The sequence below is a fragment of the Homo sapiens genome, chromosome 11 (assembly GCF_000001405.40).
Source record: "Homo sapiens chromosome 11, GRCh38.p14 Primary Assembly".
Taxonomy (NCBI): Eukaryota; Metazoa; Chordata; class Mammalia; order Primates; family Hominidae; genus Homo; species Homo sapiens.
In genome coordinates, this window is record NC_000011.10 from 134,170,495 (window position 1) to 134,191,844 (window position 21,350).

Below are 21,350 nucleotides of genomic sequence, written 5' to 3' on the forward strand. Positions count from 1 at the left end.
TAATCTACTATGGCATGGCAGTTTCCACATTATGTGAACTTTCTCCTCAGAAATGAAGTCACATATACGAAAATGTAAAGCCAGATAGAATCAGCAAATCTTCCACAAGAAGAGGGTTCCCTCTGAGTTTGGACTTATGTCAATGCCAATCGACTCAGTTTAGGTCAAGAATACACATGGGTGGAGGTGACCAACAGACAAGATACTGCGGAGTTTAAGCCCTAGTGAAAAACTTGCTGAACCATCTATACAAATAAATTCCATAGCAACATAAAACCATGCCAGGATTCACACGCTGAGGGCTGAAAATGTAGTCACAGAGCTTTCTAGCAAGAGAAACTGGAAGCCACAGCCAATGTGTGATATCCACAACTCATCTTGGCTGCTGTATTCACTGGGACTTTATTAAGAGGGCAAGTTTCAGCCTTGATTAGATTAAGATGCACAAATCCTGCAAGCTTCCTAATTGGAGAAGAGGGACTATTTTGTTTCTTGTTTGTCTGCTGAAAAGTTAGGAGAAATTAACATTCCAAGTAATGCTTCCTAGAACATTCCTTTAGAGTGACAAGAGGCAGCACTCTCTAGGTATGTGGATTAGGAAACCTCCAGGATTCTCAAGAAATCTTAGTAAGCTGGGAGCTCGTTCAGCATCCTCTCCCCAGCCCTCAGGACCACCACTAGGAACGCACATACCCACACCACCAACTCAGGGATGCGGTCTATGGATTTCACACAGCACGAGCTGCACGAATTATATGGAACACAAAGGGAAGACCAGCTAAATCTGAGTGATTACCTTATTACAGCCTTGTAAAAAGAAGTTATTACTCTCTCACTAAGAATCGAAATCCAGGATATTCAAACAGCCCAAAAGGCCACAAGGTAAGAGCCATGTGTCCACTTCTGTTTTCAGCTTTAGTAGGAAACATAAAAATCTGACTTCAGATTTCTTCATGAGCTGAATGCCATTCTGAAACAGGGTGTCTGCTCAATAAAGGCAGACTCAAGAGTTCATGCTGAACTCATGTTCCTGACCTGGCCTACAACACATCTATCTCAGGTTAGGACTGGGGCTCAGACCCATTTATACCAGAATTCTACCTGAGGCTTGAAGCAGTATTTCCTACACCCTAGTTCTCCCTGGCCACCACCCCAAATCCAAGCGCCTGTGATGGTCTGTCTAGACCCTGGTCATCCCTGCATTGCTGCTTCCTTCCTCCATGTACTCTGCACTCCAGGTTCCACGGTGAATCAGGCCCTACCCTCCACAGCCAACTCTCAGGGCACTCCCTATGCTTCCCCTTCATAAATGTGGGCCGGCTGTCCTCCAAACACAGCAGTTCTCTCTCAGCCCTCCCAAGGGGAGGCTGCTTCATCCCTCAGTCAGAGGATGAGGAGCACATTTCCCGGACCCCCAGTGCCTTCCTGCCTTCACCCACCAAATGTTCACGGCATGTCTGCTTGGTTTCGTGTTCCTTTTCTAGGGATGCGGAACAACAAAACCAAACTCATGCCCCTCAGGAAACCTACACATAGCGTGTGGACCAGATAGTGTGTTGCCAAAAGTGTTCTGACACTGGAAGACAGCTGGAAGTGGGTCCAGTGAAGTGCGGAGAGTGTGGGCTGGCTGCTGTTAAGACGCCTCCACCTCCACCTCCCCGTGGTGCTCCCACCATCTGCCTCTTGCGCTCTCTGCTACCTGGTTCCCAGTTTTGCTCTCCATTCCAAATCCCCGCAGGACTCCCCATGCAGATGAGCTACTGAATGCCCTAACTTTCTGCTTTCCTGACTTCATTGTTTCCAGTGACCATCCCATCTGGACCCAATGTCACCAGTGCAGCCACGTCGTGGACCCTGTTGCCACACTGGAGATCAACTGATGACTACCCTGCTGATCCTTCCAGTGGTCTGGCTCCTGACTCCCTCACCCCATTCCGATTGTTCCATGGCTTCACTAAGGCCTCCAGATAGTCGCGTGCTTGCTTCCTTTTCTCCCAAACCAGGCCATCCTTGTTGTTGCCCCCTTTTCTATCTCAATGGTCCATTATTTGAGGCGCTGTCCTGCCTTGAGCTTCTGGCCCTGCCTCTCTACACTCCTGTGGCAGTGCCCGCAGTGCCCAGTTAAACTACAATAATCTGCTTAGTACTTGGCTGTTGCCCTGTGATTACAAGGCCACCACCTATCGGGCAGACAGGAAGACAGATCATAGAATTCTGTAGCCTCCAAATTTGGGGTTTATACCAGCGATTAAAAATGTCATACAGGCCGGGGTGGTGGCTCACGCCCAATCCCAGCACTTTGGGAGGCTGAGGTGAGAAGATTGCTTGAGCTCAGGAGCAGCATCGTGAGAACCTAATGCTACAAAAAATAAAACATTAGCTAACTATTTGGGAGGATGAGGTGGGAGGGTCACATGAACTTGATTGAGCCCTGATTGCTCCATTGCACTCCAGCCTGGGCAACAGAGCAAGACCCTGTCTCAAAAAAAAAAAAAAAAAAAAAAAAAAGTCACACAGAGCGGGCAGGCAGTGCAAGGACCTGCAGGGGAGGGCAGAGCCTCATTCTACAGAATGTGGGTGATGGGGAGGCAGGGCTGCAGGAATGAGTGGGGTCCAGCTCTAGCCCCTGTGGCCAGCCTCAGAAGTGACCATCGTCCAGATGCAGCCTGTGGCCAACAGCTCTCCGTGGAGGAGCTGTGACTACTGAGGCCCCCAACCTCATAGCTGTTCAGTAGGGGGCTGCTGAGGAGGTGCTCAAAGCCCCAGATCCCAGGGAGGCGGGGGATGGTGGGGACAGCACAGGTGTGGTCCAGGATGTCCTCTTTGAGATACCACAGATGGATGAAGGCTTGCAGAGCATGTGCTGCTGAGTGAGGCTGATGGGGAGCAGACCTGGTTCTGTGTGCAAGAGGTAGAAAGCCTTCCCCCAGAGCTGTCCGTGCTACCTGCCCCTGGCCCACCCGGACAGAAACTCCTCATCATCCGCAGCACCCCAGCTACTGAGCTGCTGGAGGATAGCAGCACTGGGGCGGCCCCACCATGCTGCAGCCCCTGGCCCCACTGCCACCTGGCCTAGCCTCTGCCTGCACAGGGCTCCTCATTCGACCTGGATGGAGGGCAGACCCTGATGCAGGGACTGCCCTCCATTCAGATTGTCTAGACTCTATCTGAAGTCCAGCTGGTGCACACACCTTGAAGAGAGCCACTGGTACCTTTTCCCACCCCGCACAGAGACCCCAACTCACTGTCTGCTTTGTGTGGGCCGGGGTGGAGGGGACTACAGGCTGGGCTCACTAATAAAGACCCAGAACCTCAAATTAGCCGGGCGTGGTGGCGCACGCCTGTGATCCCAGCTACTCGGGAGGCTGAGGCAGGAGAATCGCTTGAACCAGGGAGTCGGAGGCTGCAGTGAGCCGAGATCATGCCATTGCACTCCAGCCTGGGCGACAGAACAAGACTCCATCTCAAAAAAAAAAAGAAAACAAACAAAAAAACAAAACAAAAACAAAACCCAGAACCTCTAAGAAAAAAAAAGTCATAAAAAATTCAATAGGCTCTGCCACCATAGTCTCTTCCTAAGATCTGCATTAGCAGAAACACACGAAAAAACGTATTGCCTGCTGTGGTGACTCAAGCCTGTAATTCCCACACTTTGGAAGGCCGAGGTGGGTAGATTGCCTGAGCCCAGGAGTTGGAGACCAGCCTGGCAAAAACGTGTCTCTACAAAAAAGTACAAAAACTAGCCGAGTATGGTGGCATGCACCTGTAGTCCGAGTTATCTGGGAGGCCGAGGTGGGAGGATCACTTGAGCCCAGGAGGTCGAGGCTGCAGGGAGCCATGACTGTACCACTGTACTTCAGCCTGAGCAACAGAATGAGACCCTGTCTCAAAAAAAAAAAAAAAAAAAAAAAAGCAAACAAAAAAAACAGTATCTAACATAGCAGATAGGCGTAGCCTTTGGCCTAAAAATCAAAAGTCAGGCACAGAAAGATACATATATATATACATATATATATACACACCACACACTCTCACTCATATGTAAGAGTTAAAAAAAGGGAGGGTCACAGAAGCAGAGAGAAGAATTGTGGTTATCGGAGGCTGGGAAGGGTACAGAAAGGCTGATTAGCACATATAAAATTACAGGAGGAGTACAGGAAAATGCTCAACAGCACTGTAGGTTGAATATAATAACAACAATTTACTGTCTATTTTCAAAAAGCTAGGGAGAGGATTTTGAAAGTTCCTGACACAAAGAAATGATAAATGTTTGAGGTGATGGTTCTGCTAATTATCCCGATTTGATCATTGCATGCTCTATACATGTATCAAAACATCACTCTCTGTCCCATAAATATGTATAATTATTACACGTCAAATAAAAAGAAAAGGAAAATTTCCAGAGAACAGACTAACTTAAATTACAGTTAGCAAATGTAGTCATCAGCTTTTCAAAGCTGAAAATCATGGTCTACATTTGAACCATGGTTTCAACAAACCCAGGATGCGGACATAAAAGGGATAGATTAAGGGGGAAGTGTTAAAATGCTAGAAGAGGCCCTGGTAATCTTACTACACGGTAAAGTATATCTATGCTCTTCATTTGATTGATGATCTGAACACCCATATGTACAAATCCCACATACAGTTTACTCATTGATCATTGCTCTTTTTCACATACACATATAGGGGCTAACAACAGCGGGGAAAAATGAGGAAATGCAGGTTAAGTAACCGATTTTACCTCCCAGGTGCATCATCTGAAAGCATTCCCAGCCTGTCTGATTACACCTTCTCCTGGGCCACGTACTGCGTAAAAAGTCCTGAGAGTCAGTATAGTGGACACGTTGTGAAGGTAAGAGGGTGTGTGAAGCTATCTAAAAAAAGGTGACAGCCTTAGCTTTTTGCCTCTGGTTCTAGAAAGCAGTAAGTAGAATGTTAGTTTTACTGGTTTGTTATGTGAAATGTTCCCCTCCTTGGAAAATCACACCTAAAGAAAACTGAGCAGAAACTTCCACGGAACTCAGGGTAAATTATTGGTGGCTATATTTAGATCCAGAGGGACCCACTGTTAGCAGCCATTTATAGTTAATGAGCTCTGTAAAGACCTCTTCCCCACTGTGGGGCTTTTGCTATGGCATTCAGCATTCTACTTTCCAACTGCAGACTTGCTTGAAAAAGAATTACTGTTACAACAAACTCTAGGGTAGCAAATTCTATCAGACCATTTCTCAACCCCTTGAAAAAAATCTTTAAAAAAAAAGATGCAAGGATAGAAATTAATAATTGCCAAAGTCACTCCCCCACGCCACAGAAGTCTGAAGAAATGCCCATTTCCAAGGAGTCTTGTCATCTGTACACTTGATTCCACATTGTGCAATTTCATCTTAATTCCTAGTTTCCTCCTTAAAATTTCTGCAATTAAAGTCTCAGCTCTTTATCAAAATTAACTTTTTTTTTTTTTTGCCTAGAAATTAACAGTGAGTTTCTAGTGGCTGCTACTCTATACAGTGTAATACAGCAAGCATATAATATTCTTCAAGCTCCTTCAGGAACAGCAAACACTGTCAGCAAGTGCAGTCAATGCTGAGATTATTCAATGATGAATCTAACCATTTTCTTTTAAACTTGTGTGCAAAACAAAGGTTTGTTATATTGCTTAGCATCTTAAAAATCTGCTAATTTTCCTGGCACCTACCGAAAGCTCACTAAATCCTACTTAACTCTAAACCAATCTGAAAAAAAAAGAAATCCAGCATACATCAGAAATGAGGTAAACTGTTGAGTCGTCTGACGTGAGGAAAAGATTTACCTGGCAATGTCTGGGTGTGAATCGATCAGAGTGCTGACAAATCGGAAGAACAGGGAGCCCTTCCATTTCACAAATTCCTCCTGTGCAGAGAGAAGCCGGCATGTTTCAGAGTGCGTCATCATGGGCAAGCCTCACTGTTCCCAGCCACACCCCACCCACCACGCGGTCTGTCCCCGGCACACTGGCTGAGTGCACAGGCACACACTTCCAAACCGTCGGAATGTAGTGCCGAGAAGTGTATGTGCAGAACAACATCACCCTTCTACCACAGGAGAAAAATGACTCAAAGCACATGGCATTAGAGGGATGGTGCCACCCTCTATTTATAATACGGTTCGTAATACATGAAAAGATGAGCATACAGAACATACCAGGACAGACATACAACCTAAGTGAAAGGTGTTCTCCCCATTATAGGCCAAACATGGGCTCTCAGTGTGTATAAAAATATCTAACGCTCTGCAGAGCTCTATAGTTCACTAGGTTTTTCCGCACACGGAAACGTCCCACTGGACTTGCAGAGCCCAGCGCGAACACCATGATCCCCATTTGACGAAGGAAGAAGTTACCTCTCAGAAATGTGGACTTGTCCAAGTTAAAAAAGAATAACAGAATTCAAACTAGAACTACTTGTCTACTGAATATGCTTTTCTCTACATGGTACTTATTTTCAAAATGAAACTTCTCACTGCTTGACAGGATGTCTGAACAAAGTCCCAAAATGAACATTCACAAGTAACGCCGTTTAGAAGGTTGTGCTAAACATCAGAAGAGTAAAACTCCAGACCAGAGATGAGACAATTATTTTTGGATTCTACTACAAAGCAAGCACATTTCCTATGCTACTCAAATATTCCCTTAAACCAGAAGCAATGGTGAAGGGGAAAGGACAGATTGAACCCCCCTACGCACCTGCAAGAGATTGGTAAGCAAGATGAGTGTCTGCTTCCGGATGAATGGGTCGGAATCCTTCAGACACATGGAGATGTTGGGAATATACTTGTCCACCATGATGGTGTAGCGAATGCAGAGATCGCACATTACAATGATGACGTTGTTGCGGACAGCCACGTCCTCACACACCTCGAGCTCTCGCACCAGGGCTGGGATGCTCTTCTTTGCCAGATCCTCGTGCTGTAAGCACAGCTTACCTGGCACAGAAGACAGGAAGATGTCTCAACTGTATTCTAAATCCTAATTCCATTCCTAAATTTTCTCCAGATACATCTTGCTAATGGCTTCTATTTCATCAAAGTTAAAACATCATGCCCACAATCACAAACAACAAAAAACTAAAGGCAGACAGACCCATCTTGAATAGTCGAATAAAAATACCTAAGGAGAAATAAACTCCCCAGGAGTTATATACTATGGGATGTTCCTTTACACTAATAAAATCATCTTCCTTTTAAAGTCAACATTTGAATTTCGCAGTTATCCCCTTACCTGGAAAATGATCAGCAAAGCCTGAGAGGTGAAACATTTTACTCCTGATTATACATATCCTCTACAGATGCTAAATACCCATGCTGAATTTGAAATCTGAGCTGGGTAAATAGGAAAGAATGCATGTCCCCTTTCTTTCTTTCTTTCTTTCTTTCTTGTTCATAGTTGAAAAGGCTGCTGAGTTTTGTTTGTATGTTTCTTTTGTGCCTGGGAAATGTTTTGCAATTCTTAGGTATTTGAAAAATAACTAATATTACAAAAAAATTAATAACTTAGGTAGCATGAAATATACACTCACACTAAAGGAAAAATAAAAAAACAAAAAAACAAAATACAATTTCCAGCACAGAGGTCAGTGTTTTCAAGATTAAAAATAATTTGAGTTCATGGAGAAATATGTAAATAGTCATCTAGCCAATTCTGGAAAGTACTAAATAAACCATTTCCTTTTATGGAAAATTTATTTCTTCATTTCCAGAACTCAGTGCAGTGCCCGGCACAGAACAGACTTCGTGGGGCTGCATTATGAATATTAAAATATTACAGGAATATTCAAGTCAAGTGAAGGTATTGAAAAAAAATTACAGAAACAGGTATAATTGTAATAAATTAACATAACCCTACTGAAAAACAAAAGCTCCCTCTAGACCCTCTAGAGAGTACCTTAGTCTTGAGGACTTATCAGCCTGAGGGCTCTCATGACCAGCACGCAGTTATGCAGAGCTCAGCACTCAGATCAGAGCCACCTCTAGGAACCACATGGCTGAGAGCAGACACAGACAGGCTCCGCAGCCCCTGACACAGTCCCATGGCTGGGCTTACTTAAGACAACAGCTACACACAGAACGATGTCAAGCCCCATTCTCCCATGTTTTTCTTACCTAAGGTAATGATGGCATGTGCTCTAATCACAGAGGGCATGACAGAACCTCTGACCTGGGGGGGTGGCTGAGACGCTGGGGCCTCACTGCTGCCTTGAGATGATGGTGCTGCAAAGAAGGGAGAGAAAGTTACCGACAGAACCTTGAAACGGCATGCGTGCTACAGAGTATGATTTCAAATGCCTTACAGTGGTCAGCATCAGCAGACGAAGCCAGGACGGACTGAATCAGAAGGAAGATGCGCTTCTCCACCCTGGCTGGACACAGCTGGGCTATATCCCCTAAGGTAAAAATGTACTTCACCTACAAAGATAATTGGTTTTACAGTAAAAATAAGGCAAAAGAAAAGTGAACTCTAGCTAGATTAAGGACATGTCAATGGAGTATTTCCTTTATCCCCCAAATTTAAAACAATGTTACTAGTTTTCGTTTCATAAAAATACATGGCTATTGTAAAAACTTAGTCACTATGTAATGAAACTCATCCAAAATTAGGGCAAGCATATAATTTTATCATCTAAATCTAGACACATCTGCAAGTAAAAGGGGGTGCTATTAATAATTATTTTGTGAAAATAGGTGTACGCTAGGGTTATCTTGGGTAAACTGGGATACATCTACCTATAACCCTACCACCCAGAGACACCATTATTGTTTTTGTGTATAACTTTTTCAAAGTATTTCTATAGTCACGTGGCTTTATGTTTACTTTTCTTATACACTTACCAAGTATAGTATTTTGAAGTCTGCAATGATTACTTTGAATATTAGGCATCGTTTCATGTCAATATGTATGACACATATGTTTAATGACTACATAAGTATATGCCATTTCAAAACTAGGACTGTCGTCATAACTTACTGCACTATTCCAGTATCAATGAACACTGATGCTGTTTCCCTTTGCTAATGTTTCGATTAGCTCTGGTGAACACCTGTGTATCCTTAGATACTGCTCTCTTTCCTCAGAAGTAAAATCCAAGGTAAAGAGTATATAAAGCTATTTCACATTTTGAAACACATTTTCAAGTTGCCCTCCAGATTATTTTTCTATGTAGACCCCATCAAAAACCTACTCACAGCTGCCATGCTGTGTTTCTTCATAACATTCAGTTTAACAACTAAGTAATATTGTTCTTTTTTTATTTACACCCCAAATGAAGGGATGATGCTGAATAGTAAAATGTCAAATAAAAGCTTATTCTAGGGTAAGAAAGCCAATAACAAAGTATATGAGTTTAAAAGAATCTTGAAATACTGTATCTCTTCATTAAAAAAATATTTAAGTTCTATTTAAAGAAGCAAGAATGAAACTATGTATATAGGGCAAAACCTCTCCATATATATTTTGACTGAAGAGTAGATTTTGATGACACGGTTAACAGTTGAAAAAAACCTGGGGGAGGAGGGGTGGGGACAAGACTCACTGACCATAGTAAGCATCTTTCTTAATGTGGGCAGAAATGAGAAGAGCAAGACCCTCTAGAAGCCCTGGGCCAAGCCTGTGCTACACTCCCTGGTGCTCTTACCTAAAGCACCCAGGTTCCCATAGTGAGGCTCTGTATTCCTGATCACGTGCACAGTAGTGCCTCAGGCTCAATGGTCTTCTCTTTGAACAAATCTAAGCTTGGTCGGTGATCACTGGGCGTTAGGAGAGCTAGGCCAACAAGCAGAAACTGAACACAGAAAAGACGTGCTCCACTAATTTAAACATATGAGAAAAATGGCCCGTTTTGGTTAAATAATGATCTGTGCTGAATGGCATCAAAAAGCAGCTCATTATTTCCTTTACTGGACAAAGTCAGATGTTGGAACCAGAATTACTGCCATACATCTTATCCCCAGTCAGCCACTGAAATCAGCCCACTGTCCCGTCCTGGCTCACGGGAATTTCTTGCACCGTTTACAGTTTCTAAAGCAGGGGTGCCACAGAAAACAATCTTGGGGCTCCAAGGTCATCTGTGTTCTGAATTGTCAAATCTCTCATTTTATTTCAGTCATTACTTGGCAATTGCTCAGCACTGTTCCCCAGTTCTACTGTCTGATGTTCAAATAGCTCAGAAGACATGTTAAATTTTTAAAAAAGCAAACACACAAACCAAAAACACTATACTCACATTATTATTTCTTACCTTACATTTCTAAGCTTGACTATACCAACCTTACAACACATACTGTGTTTTCCCTACTGAAATCAGGCTTCTCATAAGACTGAACTAGATGAAGCGTATACCATTGAGTTTCCCCACCGATAAAAAGTATATAAGAAAAAAATGAATAGGTTATCAATTTAAAAATATCTTCTAAAAAGAGAAAGTAAGCTCTAGGCTAAGACAGCTCTTTTGTTAAAAGCATTTAAAGCGTACATGACAAAGTCATCTTTAATAGAACCTCACGGATAAAATGGAAGCGAAAAGAATGGTTAGGAAAAGCAGTCGCTTACCAACAGGTCTTCGTCCATATTCCCTGTTCCATTCTCCTTGAGAACGATGTTGGAGAGGCGGTGCTCGCAGGTGGAGAGTACATCCCCACACACCTGCGTCAGCAATTCCTACGGCAAGTCAAAAGTCATCTCTGAAGGGCCCCGCACATCTCCCAGACTACCCATGAAACACCATGTTCTCAGAAGAAACTATGATCTTCAAATGGATAGGCTGTAGGGGTGCTTCCTAGCTTTCCTCTTTCCCACAATTTGTCCAAAACCACAATGACATGCATTTAAGCAATCTAGCCATGAGTACTGGCTAAGTGGAATTTATAAAGAACGGTGTATATATCATCTTTCTTTTTACATTTGCCCTATAAGAGCAAAAGGCCAAATATTTACAATGACCCCATGTAGTAATTTGTAAGAGATCTATAATAGTAGTGCTCCTCCAAAAATACAGAAATAAGCTGTAGTTTTGCTGCCATATACAGATGATGAATTAACTACTGTGATAAACATTTTTTAAAGACATAAAATAGAGTTGCTACTCTTCTGAAATTTATGCATTAGGGACAAGTGTTCCGTGTCTCTCACTGATTACAATAACTTCAAGGGGTGACTTCTAGTGCACATTGGACTGTTCCTCTATGCCAAGGAAGAGAGAGAGCTCCCAACCACATTCTAGAATTCTTGGACCTCATTTTCTGTAGGAAACCATTCCAAAACACCTAGGTTGAGCTAAGGGCCTCCACCCCCTTGCTTCCATGTTACCCGATGCCGACTTTTATTTTAGGAATGATGACATTATGTTGAAATTATCTGCTGATGTGCACGCACCTCCCCCACTCCTCTGTAGTGCCTTAGGAAGGGACCTGTGTTAACCATCATCCAGTGCCTGGCAAGCCACCACTATGAGCAATGCTTTTAGTCTGACTTGCCCTAACGTATCTGGAAACTATTGGCTTTATTACTTCTAAAAGAACTATTACATTTAAAATTTTAATAGATTGCACAACCTGGACCACAACATTGGCCCAAAGAGTTTCTGCAATTCTTATGCTTGATCCCAATGAGGCCAGAACCTGGGTACTAGGACTAGTAAGTTTCGGTATCACAGAATCTGGGAAAGCTGACAAGGCCACCCAATCCTGGCATTCTCTCCACATGGCAGCCTGTTCCAAGTCCTTGTCCAGCTTCTCCTGAATACCTCCAATAACAGGGGACATGCTCTGGGGCAAGCCCACCATTTTGGGCAGACCTCAGTAAGTTTTCTCTGCAGTTCACCAAAATTTATAATTTCCATTCATTGGTCCAGATAGGTTGTCTGGGAATACCAAATAAATCCAATTCTTTTATCTGAAAGTCCTTCATAAATTTGAATTTAGCTAGGCAGCCTACCGTCCCCAACCCTTCCCTTCTCCATGCTAAAGACTCCAGGCCCTTCTGCAGTTCCTTACATAACTTGCTTTGTGATACCCTTATTTAACTGCTCTCCTCTAGTTATATTCAATTTCATCAACACTTCTCTGTAAATTTGTCACTGATACTGAACTATCAGCCAGCACACAGGATCACTGCTCCTCTTGTTCTAGACACTATTTCTACTGATACAAGATCTCATCAATTTTTTAATGACAGTCACAAAACAGATAACAAAAATGCCCAAAGACCACAGTCCTTTCATATATACTGCTGCTGAGCTATATCTTTGGGTAATCTGTTGCTCTCAGTAAAATAAATGATATTCACTTACAGAGAAAAGAAAAGGAGAAGCGTGTTTAGGGGAAACAAGCGGGTCACATGGATTGAAAATATCCTAACATTCCAGACAATCTCAGGGCCTTGCTCCTCTGTCAACCACCAAGTGAGGTTGTGTCGGCAGATTAAAACCGTGGCGGTCTTTGCTAATGCAGTAGTAAGCCCCACCCGCTTCCAGCTCTCAGTGTCTAACCTGAAGACAGTTCTTGCCTTCCTCATAGGCTCTCATGACAATGTAACCACCGTCCTAATGGCCCTGGGCCAGCAGCAAGCGGCAGATGACTTCCTAGGCCCTGACTGCGCGCTGTACACATGATTCTTTTTCCAACCAGTGCTGGTGAAAAGAAAATTAGGAAAAAGTCAGAGGCCTTAGTTCTAGTCCCAGCTCTGCCGGTAGTAAGTTGTGTACCACTGAGCCTGGAAGGCTTGTGGTTTCATAGTCTGTAACGTTAATTCCTCCTGATCACTCTTTCCTCAGTCTTACCACGCCTGTAATCCCAGCACTTTGGGAGGCTGAAGCAGGCGATCACTTGAGATCAGGAGTTTGAGACCAGCCTGGCCAACATGGTGAAACCCTGTCTCTACTAAAAATACAAAAATTAGCTGGGCCTGATAGCATGTGCCTGTAATCCCAGCTACTCGGGAGGCTGAGGCACGAGAATTGCTTGAACCTGGGAGGCGGAGGTTACAGTGAGCTGAGATTGCGCCACTGTACTCTAGCCTGGGTGACAGAGTGAGACTCCATCTCAAAAATAAAAATAAAAGTTTGTCATATAATTTCTTGGGTCTTGAGATAAAGGGTTAGAAAAATCAAATAATGCAAGTATCCCTTTCATCAATAAAACAGCTTAAAGATAGATACCAGAAAAACACCAGGCACCATTTCATAAGAAATAGGTCAACAGTCTTAAGTCCCAAGCAAAAAAGTTACAATCATTGTTTTAGTTGATCTGTTAGAAGTAGAAAATGTAACATCTTAAGGAAGGGCTTTCTCTAATGAACTTGGTCAAGAAAAGGAAACACAGGAAGGTAGTTGGGGAGATCAGCTGAAGCCATCATTTTCTTTTATTCTGGAAAACTTAAATATATCCCAGCAATTATTTAATTTTTGTTTTCTATAGCCATTATTAATAACCCCAGCTCTACATTTTTTCATTATGATTGGTACTAAGAGTATATCTCATGATAAAAACAGAATAAATATATGGTAATAAAATTATTTCTTCAGTTACTGGTATGCATACCTTTTAAGGAGTCAAAGTACCTCTCTGCCTCCCATAAATCACTGATGTGGATTTCTGTTTATATAAAAACACTAGCTGTGGGCTATAGGCAACTGTGGGGACACGATACCAACAAGAGATATTTGAGTAGTGTAACCTCATAGTAACAGGACAGGCATGTCCAAGATTATGACTTATCAGAAGGTCAGAAACCTGTTCTGGAGGGAACTTCCTGCTTAAGTGGAAAATTGTCTATAAGTGTTCTTGGAATGAGAGTGGAAGTCAAGGAGAAAGAGAACCTTGCAGAATTCTCACCAGGAAATGACAATCAACAGGAATGCTTACCTAAAGACACTCGCACCTGCGATCAAGGTGGTGACCATCTAAGGGTGCCGTGTCTCTTAGGCAGCTAAATCTTCTTGGGGAATGTCAATTGCTAGTTATGTAAACCTTGCCTTGTTGCGGCAATAGCTGCGGGGGACATCCTTACACGTCCTCTTATTTATAGAGAATGCTCCTCACACTTCAAAACACATACAGTAACATCCTAAGCTCAAAGAAGTCAGAAACATGTCAGGGAAAGTCTGGCCATACCTGCTCCTCTGCTGGTGTCTCTGCAGATGCTCTACAAAGCCTCTGCAAGGCGTCAACAGCTGAACTGATCACCTCTAGAGACCACTGAAATCCATTCAGCTTACACTTGACAGCATCTATGAAGGAAGTCAAAACCCCTGAAGTTCAACTGCTTAAATATATTCAGGTATATATACACACACACACACACACACACACACACACACACACACACCTGAAATGAACAGCAATGCATTTTCACATAAGATTCTCCAGCAGACACTCACCAGTCACTTTGTCCCGGGTGCTCTTAGGAAGATGCTTTGCAATATGCCCAATCACACAGAGAATATGTCCTAAGGTGTTTGAATTGGGATTCTGCTGACTAGAGAAAGGGCAGGAGGAATATGAAGGGAGAAGCAAGTTAAACACTGCTGCCAACAAAGGCCTTTCTTCTGGATTAATAACACTGGAGGAAGCAGGGTAGGTAGCATGGCTTAGGAGTCAAGCTGTGGGAACATCAAGGCATTTAATGTACTTGGACAAAGGGGAAATGGGTGAAACATGATTCTTATTTTTTTCATGCTTGTTTTTATACCAGGTTTTAAACAGAAGGTCTCTGTATATGAATAGCTATGAAAAAGCTCACTTCCTTAAGTCTTGGGCTTTGTTTCTAAGACTCTTCAGTGTCATTACTGGTTAAATTAGAAGATACAAACCTGCTGATTTTCTCCCAAGATTGTATTATTCTGCTGTAGTCCAGCCTGGGTGAGGAGCCAGCAATCTTGGAGAGCAGCATCCAGGCAGGTGCCGAATGTTCCGTGCCAGTGTGAGATATTACATTGTTTATAAAAGTGGGTGAGAATTTTTCTTTCTTGGACCAGATATGAAAAGCCTTATTTAAATATCGGCTGGAAAAAAAAAAGATAGAAAAGCAGAATTGCAACTGTAAATATACAAAATGATTCAGATGGGAGCCTCACTGAAAGGGTATCAACTTCTGCTGCTCCAGGACTCAAGTGGCACATGAAACTTATATGTAGACGTTCCTAATTAGTGGCGTGTCTGATACCAAACTAGGTATCTTTTAAATTTTTATTATTCTACTATCAGTTATATTCATTTTTCCCCTCATAAAATATTCCTTAAAGTAAAGAATAAAATTTCACAATTCATTTCAGACTCTTCTTATCCTCCTCCCCTCCAAAATTTCTACATAACTGCATGGGGTCAGTTACAGATACATCCAGAGCTTACACAGTTATAGTGACAAAAATTAGTAACATTGTCCTTTTTTTTTTTTTTTTCTTGAGATGGAGTCTCGCTCTGTCGCCCAGGCTGGAGTGCAATGGCGCGATCTCGGCTCACTGCAAGCTCCACCTCCCGGGTTCACACCATTCTCCTGCCTCAGCCTCCCGAGTAGCTGGGACTACATGGCAGGATTGTAAATGACAACCTAACAATTAAATATGATGATATTAAATGAGCTAAAATATGCAATAACTTAATACCACTCAGAAATAGATATTTCAAACCTTTTCAAAATAAAAAACAATGCTTCTGATGTACTAAAGTGTTTGTGTTATATTACTAGTTTTTGAGACAGGGTCTCACTCTGTCACCCAGGCTGGATCACAGTAGTATGATCACAGCTCTCTGTGTAGCCTCCACCTCCTGGGTTCAATCAATCCTCTTCCCTCAGCCTCCAGAGTAGCTGAGACTACAGGCATGGTCACCATACCTGGCTAATTTCTCTCTCTCTCTCTTTGTCTGTCTTTCTTGAGACAGGGTCTCACTATGTTGTCTAGACTGGTCTTGAACTTCTGGGCTCAAGCCATCCTCCTGTCTTGGCCTTCCAAAGTACTGAGATTATAGTTGTGAGCCACTGTGCCTGGCTGTCACTGTTGTTTTAGAACTATCTCTTATTTTACTTCTTCCCAAGTCACTGAATGGGATCATATGATTCATGAGACAATGCCATATTATATATTTAAATGAAGAGAAAAATACACTTCTTCCCTTGATTAATTTTTCTTAGACTTCTGGGAAAACACATACACATACATACCCACACGCGAACATCAGGAATTCCTCATTAAACTGTTTTTAGAAGGGAAATTCTCAAAACATACAGAATAAGGTAACTGTAACAAAATAAACACATCTATATACCATAATAAGCATATGCATATAAATGAAGTTTTGCTAATATATCAGCTATTGATTAAAAATCCATCCACAGATGTCAAGTCTTACTACAGTTAGCTTACAACATGATTTATGTCTGATTTATGTCCAAATACCACAAGATATAAGCAATGAACAAGTATTTTTAAATTTATTTAAAAATAACGATATAAAATATTAAGTAATGTTTATTATATGTAGCCAACAGAATTGGGAAAAAATCCTCTGAACTTGCAGAAATCTCAAACTTGGCTCCTCTTTGACAACTCCCAGCCCTCCACTCCCAGCCAGCCTCCCAGCCCAGCTGAGGGCCACAGCCATTCCCCACCTGGGCAGACTGTGACCCAACACACTAACTTCTATCTTAGTACCAAAACCAACGGCCATGCTTCAGGCCCGTCTCCATGGCCTCCACCAGAGGTTACTGACTACTCTTGCGCTGAGACTCTGGTCCACCAGTTGGATCTCTTTTCATCTCCTGTAACTAATTCCTGTCTTCTAATAACTAATTGCTGATTTGAAAAGCTCTATTCTTAGTCCTCTTATCTCCAACCTAACTCTGGGTGACCTCATGCATTACCAAGAGCTCCCAACTGAGGTGTGACAAAGCATTCAAGTTGAAGCTGGGCTTCCATCTCCAGCACTCCCTCTGTCCTCAACCTGCCCGACTTCTGCTCTCCACACCTCAGTCAACAGCAATTGATTCAGGCATTTTCCTGAGATTTCATAGAGCCTTCTGGCCTCTGAGCTTTTGCATGACTATTTCCTTTCTGGTAACCCTTACTACTCTGGCTGCTGAATTCCTACACATTCCCAAATATTCTACCCACGCCACTACTTCTGGGAAGCCACCCTAAGCCAGAAGAAGAAAGAAAGAGGACAAAGAGGAAGAAATAATCACCAAAATGCCAGGTGCCCTTCCTCTGTTCTCCTGTAGCTCCCTTTCCACTAAAATTGTGACTTGCTTTTGTCTATTTCACTAGACCAAGAGCAACTGGAGGAGAGGAAGTGCACTGAACTATTCTGTGAATCTCCAGCACTTAGAACCAGTCCTGGAAAATGAAGTCCTCAAAATATGTTTGTTCAGTTGAATAAAATATTTCCTCTTCCAACTCCTCCAAACCTCAGGCTCAGCTTTCATCACCTCTACCATTCCCTCCTATAGGGCCTTTACAGAGGTGATGAAGTTAAAACGTGGCTGTTAGGGTCGGCCCTAACCCAAGCTCAAGGTGAGAGGTGAAGCCAGTTGGACTTCCTGGGTCAAGTGGGGACATGGAGAACTTTTCTGTCTAGCTAGAGGATTGTAAGCACACCAATCAGCACTCTGTGTCTAGCTAAAGGATTGTAAATGCACCAATCAGCACTCTGTGCCCAGCTAAAGGATTATAAATGCACCAATTAGCACTCTGTAAAAACACACCAATCAGCACTCCGTGTCTAGCTAAAGGATTGTAAATGTACCAATCAGCACTCTGTAAAAACGTACCAATCAGCATGCTGTGTCTAGCTACAGGATTGTAAATGCACCAATCAGCACTCTGTAAAATGGACCAATTAGCAGGACATGGGCGGGGCCAAATAAGGGAATAAAAGCTGGCCACCCGAGCCAGCAGCAGCAACCCGCTCGGGTCCCCTTGCACGCTGTGGAAGCTTTGTTCTTTCGCTCTTCACAGTAAATCTTACTGCTGCTCACTCTTTGGGTCCACACTGCCTTTATGAACTGTAACACCGCAAGGGTCTGCGGCTTCATTCCTGAAGTCAGTGAGATGACAAACCCACCAGGAGGAACAAACAACTCCGGATGTGCCACCTTTAAGAGCTGTAACACTCACTACGAAGGTCTGCGGCCTCACTCCTGAAGTCAGCGAGACCACGAACCCACCAGAGGGAAGAAACTCCAGGCACATCCGAACATCTGAAGGAACAAACTCTGGACACACCATCTTTAAGAGCTGTAACATGCATCGCGAAGGTCTGCGGCTTTATTCTTGAAGTCAGCGAGACCAAGAACCCACCAGAAGGAATAAATTCCGGACACAAAGGGTATCCTTATAAGAAGAAATGCGGACACAGAATGAGACACCAGGGATGTGCATGAGGTCACAGCCAAGGAGAGAAGCCTCAGGAGAAACCCACTCTCCTGGCACCATGATCTCAAATTTCTACCTTCCAGAACTGTGAGAAAATAAATTTCTGTTGTTCAAGCCACCTACTCTGTGGTGTTTTGTTATGGTGGCCCTGGCAAATTAATACAAAGAGCTGTATCAATTAAAATTTTAGACTAAAAAATGCCTATATAGAACTGTGCCCTTTAAAAAATACTAATACATTCTGAATACTCTGTTTCTGAATGTATACTGAACAAGACATTTGTAGTTGTATCACCCATTTCATCATTAATATTATTTATTTGTACCTTTTTTCTTGTCATATCTCGGCAGAAGTTTATCTTTTCCATTAGGCTTTTTGAAGACTGTTTTTCTTTCCCAGTTTTTAAATTTCTAAATTTTAGCATTTCTTTTCCTCAAGTTTATTCAAAGACTTTTCGTAACTTCTTAAATTGAACCTTTAGCTCATCAGTTTTCAGTCCTTTTCCTTTTCTAATACACATTTAACGTTACACATTTCCTTCTAAGTACTCCATTAAATGCATTCTACAAGTTTTGGCACGTATTCAGTTCCAAAAATCTTCCAATTCACTGGTCTTTGACCTTCGAGTTATTTAGAAGTATCTTTTTTAATTCTTCAAATGCTCTTTTTTGAGGTTTTCCTCTACTACTTATTGTATAATGCTCAGAGAACATTATCCTATTAATACAGAATTGTTGATATTTAAGATTGACTCTGAAGTTGTACATAATCAATTTTTATAAATGGTTCACATAAGCTTAGAAATGTGTGCTTATTGGGCATGGGGTTTTATACATATCCTTTAGGAACACATAACTCTTCCAGGTATAATTCCTTTATCATTATAAGTAACTTTCTTTACAACTGATGACATTTTCCGTTAAATTCTATTTGACTCTATTTTAAATTCTATTCTATTTGATACGGCCTTCTTTTTGCATTATTTTTCTAGTAACCTTTTTCTTACTTTCAGCATTTCTGGTAATTTTATTTTAGGTGTGGCTCTTATAAACAGTATGTAGTTGGATTTTGGTTTTTATATCCAAAGATTTTGTCCACTAACTATTAAATGGAAGTCATTTACATTTATAGAGATTACTGACCTATTGGATTAATTCACCCTTTTATTTTATGATTTCGATATACCATGCTTTTTATTTCCTTCTCATTTTTTAACCTCACTTCTGTTCTGCGTTTTCTTGCACTGAACTTTCTTCAGTGTTACTTCTGTTCTACTGGCTCAGAAGTTACATACGACTATCCCTGGTTGTCTGCAGTGTTAACTCGAGTTTAATGCCAATCAGCATCTCTAATCTCCTCCTATCCAATGCTAGAAATGCAAGTAAATGCACCCTCCAGCTCATCCTACATACTTTTTTATATTTTAGCTTCACCTTGCTTTCAGTCATCTCAGTTAATCATCCTCATATCATTGTTGTTACTGATTTTTAATGGCTATGCTTAATTTAGATTTATCTATGTGTTTATCGATTTCTTAGCAACTTTTCCTTCTCATTCCTCCCTTCTGAATTCAGCTTCCATCCTTCTGAAGTACATCCTTTTTATTTTTTTGAGATGAGGTCTTGCTCTGTCGCCCAGGCTGGAGTGCAGTGGTGCAATTACGGCTCACTGCAGCCTCCACCTCCTGGGCTGAAGCGATCATCCCACCACAGCCTCCCAAGTAGCTGGGACTACAGGCGTGCGCCACCACAAATGGCTTTTTTTGTAGAGACAAGGTCTCACCACATTGCCAGGGATGATCTCAAACTCCTGGTCTTAAGCAGTTCTCCTGCCTCAGCCTCCCAGAGTGCTGGGAATATAGCCTGGCCTGAAGTACATCCCTCATAGATGGCCCTTTAGTGGAGAGGTGGTGGCGATAAACACCCTTGGTTTTCTGCTCGTCTCAATATGGCTTTATTTTACCCTGTATGTTGAATAATCTGGTTGGGTGCAAGATTCTAACTTGATGTGAACAAGTTTTGTTTGAAATGTTTTTGAGACATTTAGAATTGTCGACTACTTGCTTCGCTTGAAATCCTCACTCCCTGTTTCCATTTGAATAATTTTCTCCTAGTTATTCCTCTACTTCTCCATACTTCTGAATTCTTTTGACATGGCTATCTTCCTCTGCTGAAGCCTTCAATGCACATCTTCTGCAAGGTTCCTCTTCTAAACTTGCATTTTTTCTTACTCATTTTATAATCTCCTTAAGCAGTTTCATCCACAACCTGATTCCAGGTTTAATAATGAGCCCATGTTTGTTTGTTTGTTTTAATGTCTCCTTAAAGACCTCTGAAATAAATGAATACCAAAAATAAGACAAAATTTTAAGCAACACTGGAAAATAAGAAGAGTTGCCATGAAATCAGAAGTCAAGAGTAATTTCAGAAAATGTGCAGCACGTGAGTTCTGGGCCACTTTTTTTCAAGTATTAGCCAACTTGGGCAGAGGTGGCTATCACCTACAATGATAAACAGAGATTGCATGGTGGTTACACAGGCATACTCTCTTTGTGATATTTACTGACCTTATGGTTTGTGTACTTTTCTAGACATGCTATACTTCAATACAAAAGTTTTTATAAAGAAAAATAAATTTTAAAACCTCCCAACAGCTTCTCAGGAGCTGTAGAAGGCCTCTCCTGCTTTTTTGCAAAGAATGACTACTACCTTTCATTACATTAACATGAATTAATACATAGAGCATGCATAAGGAGGTATCTCTAAGAAAAGTGAAAAAGCAGTAGACTCTATTATTAGCTAAATCTCTCCATTCTAGAAATCTCAGGAAAGCATAGGGTGGGTAGAGGTTGAGTATCACTCATCTGAAATGCTTGGGACCAGAAGTGTTTTGGATTCTGGAATATCTGCATATACTTAATGAGATATCTTGGGGATGGAACCAAAGTCTCA

At 42.0% G+C, this 21,350-nt stretch overlaps 1 protein-coding gene and 1 pseudogene across 5 annotated transcripts in view, besides 1 other annotated feature; one reads left to right on the forward strand and one right to left on the reverse strand.

Annotated features, from left to right (window-relative positions):
* Positions 1-21,350, reverse strand: part of NCAPD3 (non-SMC condensin II complex subunit D3) — a 75,349-nt gene that overhangs the window by 20,382 nt on the left and 33,617 nt on the right. For all 5 annotated transcript variants that reach the window (NM_001372070.1, NM_001372069.1, NM_001372065.1 and 2 more), the window contains 8 exons: positions 14,841-15,032; positions 14,409-14,506; positions 14,143-14,258; positions 10,583-10,690; positions 8,328-8,442; positions 8,140-8,247; positions 6,725-6,963; positions 5,813-5,892 (listed from right to left, as the gene is read on the reverse strand). In NM_001372070.1, coding sequence (NP_001358999.1) covers positions 5,813-5,892; positions 6,725-6,963; positions 8,140-8,247; positions 8,328-8,442; positions 10,583-10,690; positions 14,143-14,258; positions 14,409-14,506; positions 14,841-15,032 — 1,056 coding nt within the window. The remainder of the gene's footprint in view (positions 1-5,812; positions 5,893-6,724; positions 6,964-8,139; positions 8,248-8,327; positions 8,443-10,582; positions 10,691-14,142; positions 14,259-14,408; positions 14,507-14,840; positions 15,033-21,350) is intronic.
* LOC100533644 (zinc finger protein 628 pseudogene) lies at positions 1,115-3,190 on the forward strand (annotated as a pseudogene).
* Positions 5,542-6,741: an enhancer, noted in NCBI's record as "CDK7 strongly-dependent group 2 enhancer chr11:134045931-134047130 (GRCh37/hg19 assembly coordinates)". NCBI's record gives its function as "activates an origin of replication core promoter dependent on BRD2, BRD4, P300/CBP, MED14 and CDK7 cofactors, with strong dependence on CDK7, by STARR-seq in HCT116 cells {active_cell/tissue: HCT116}" and the evidence as "EXISTENCE:reporter gene assay evidence [ECO:0000049][PMID:35650434]".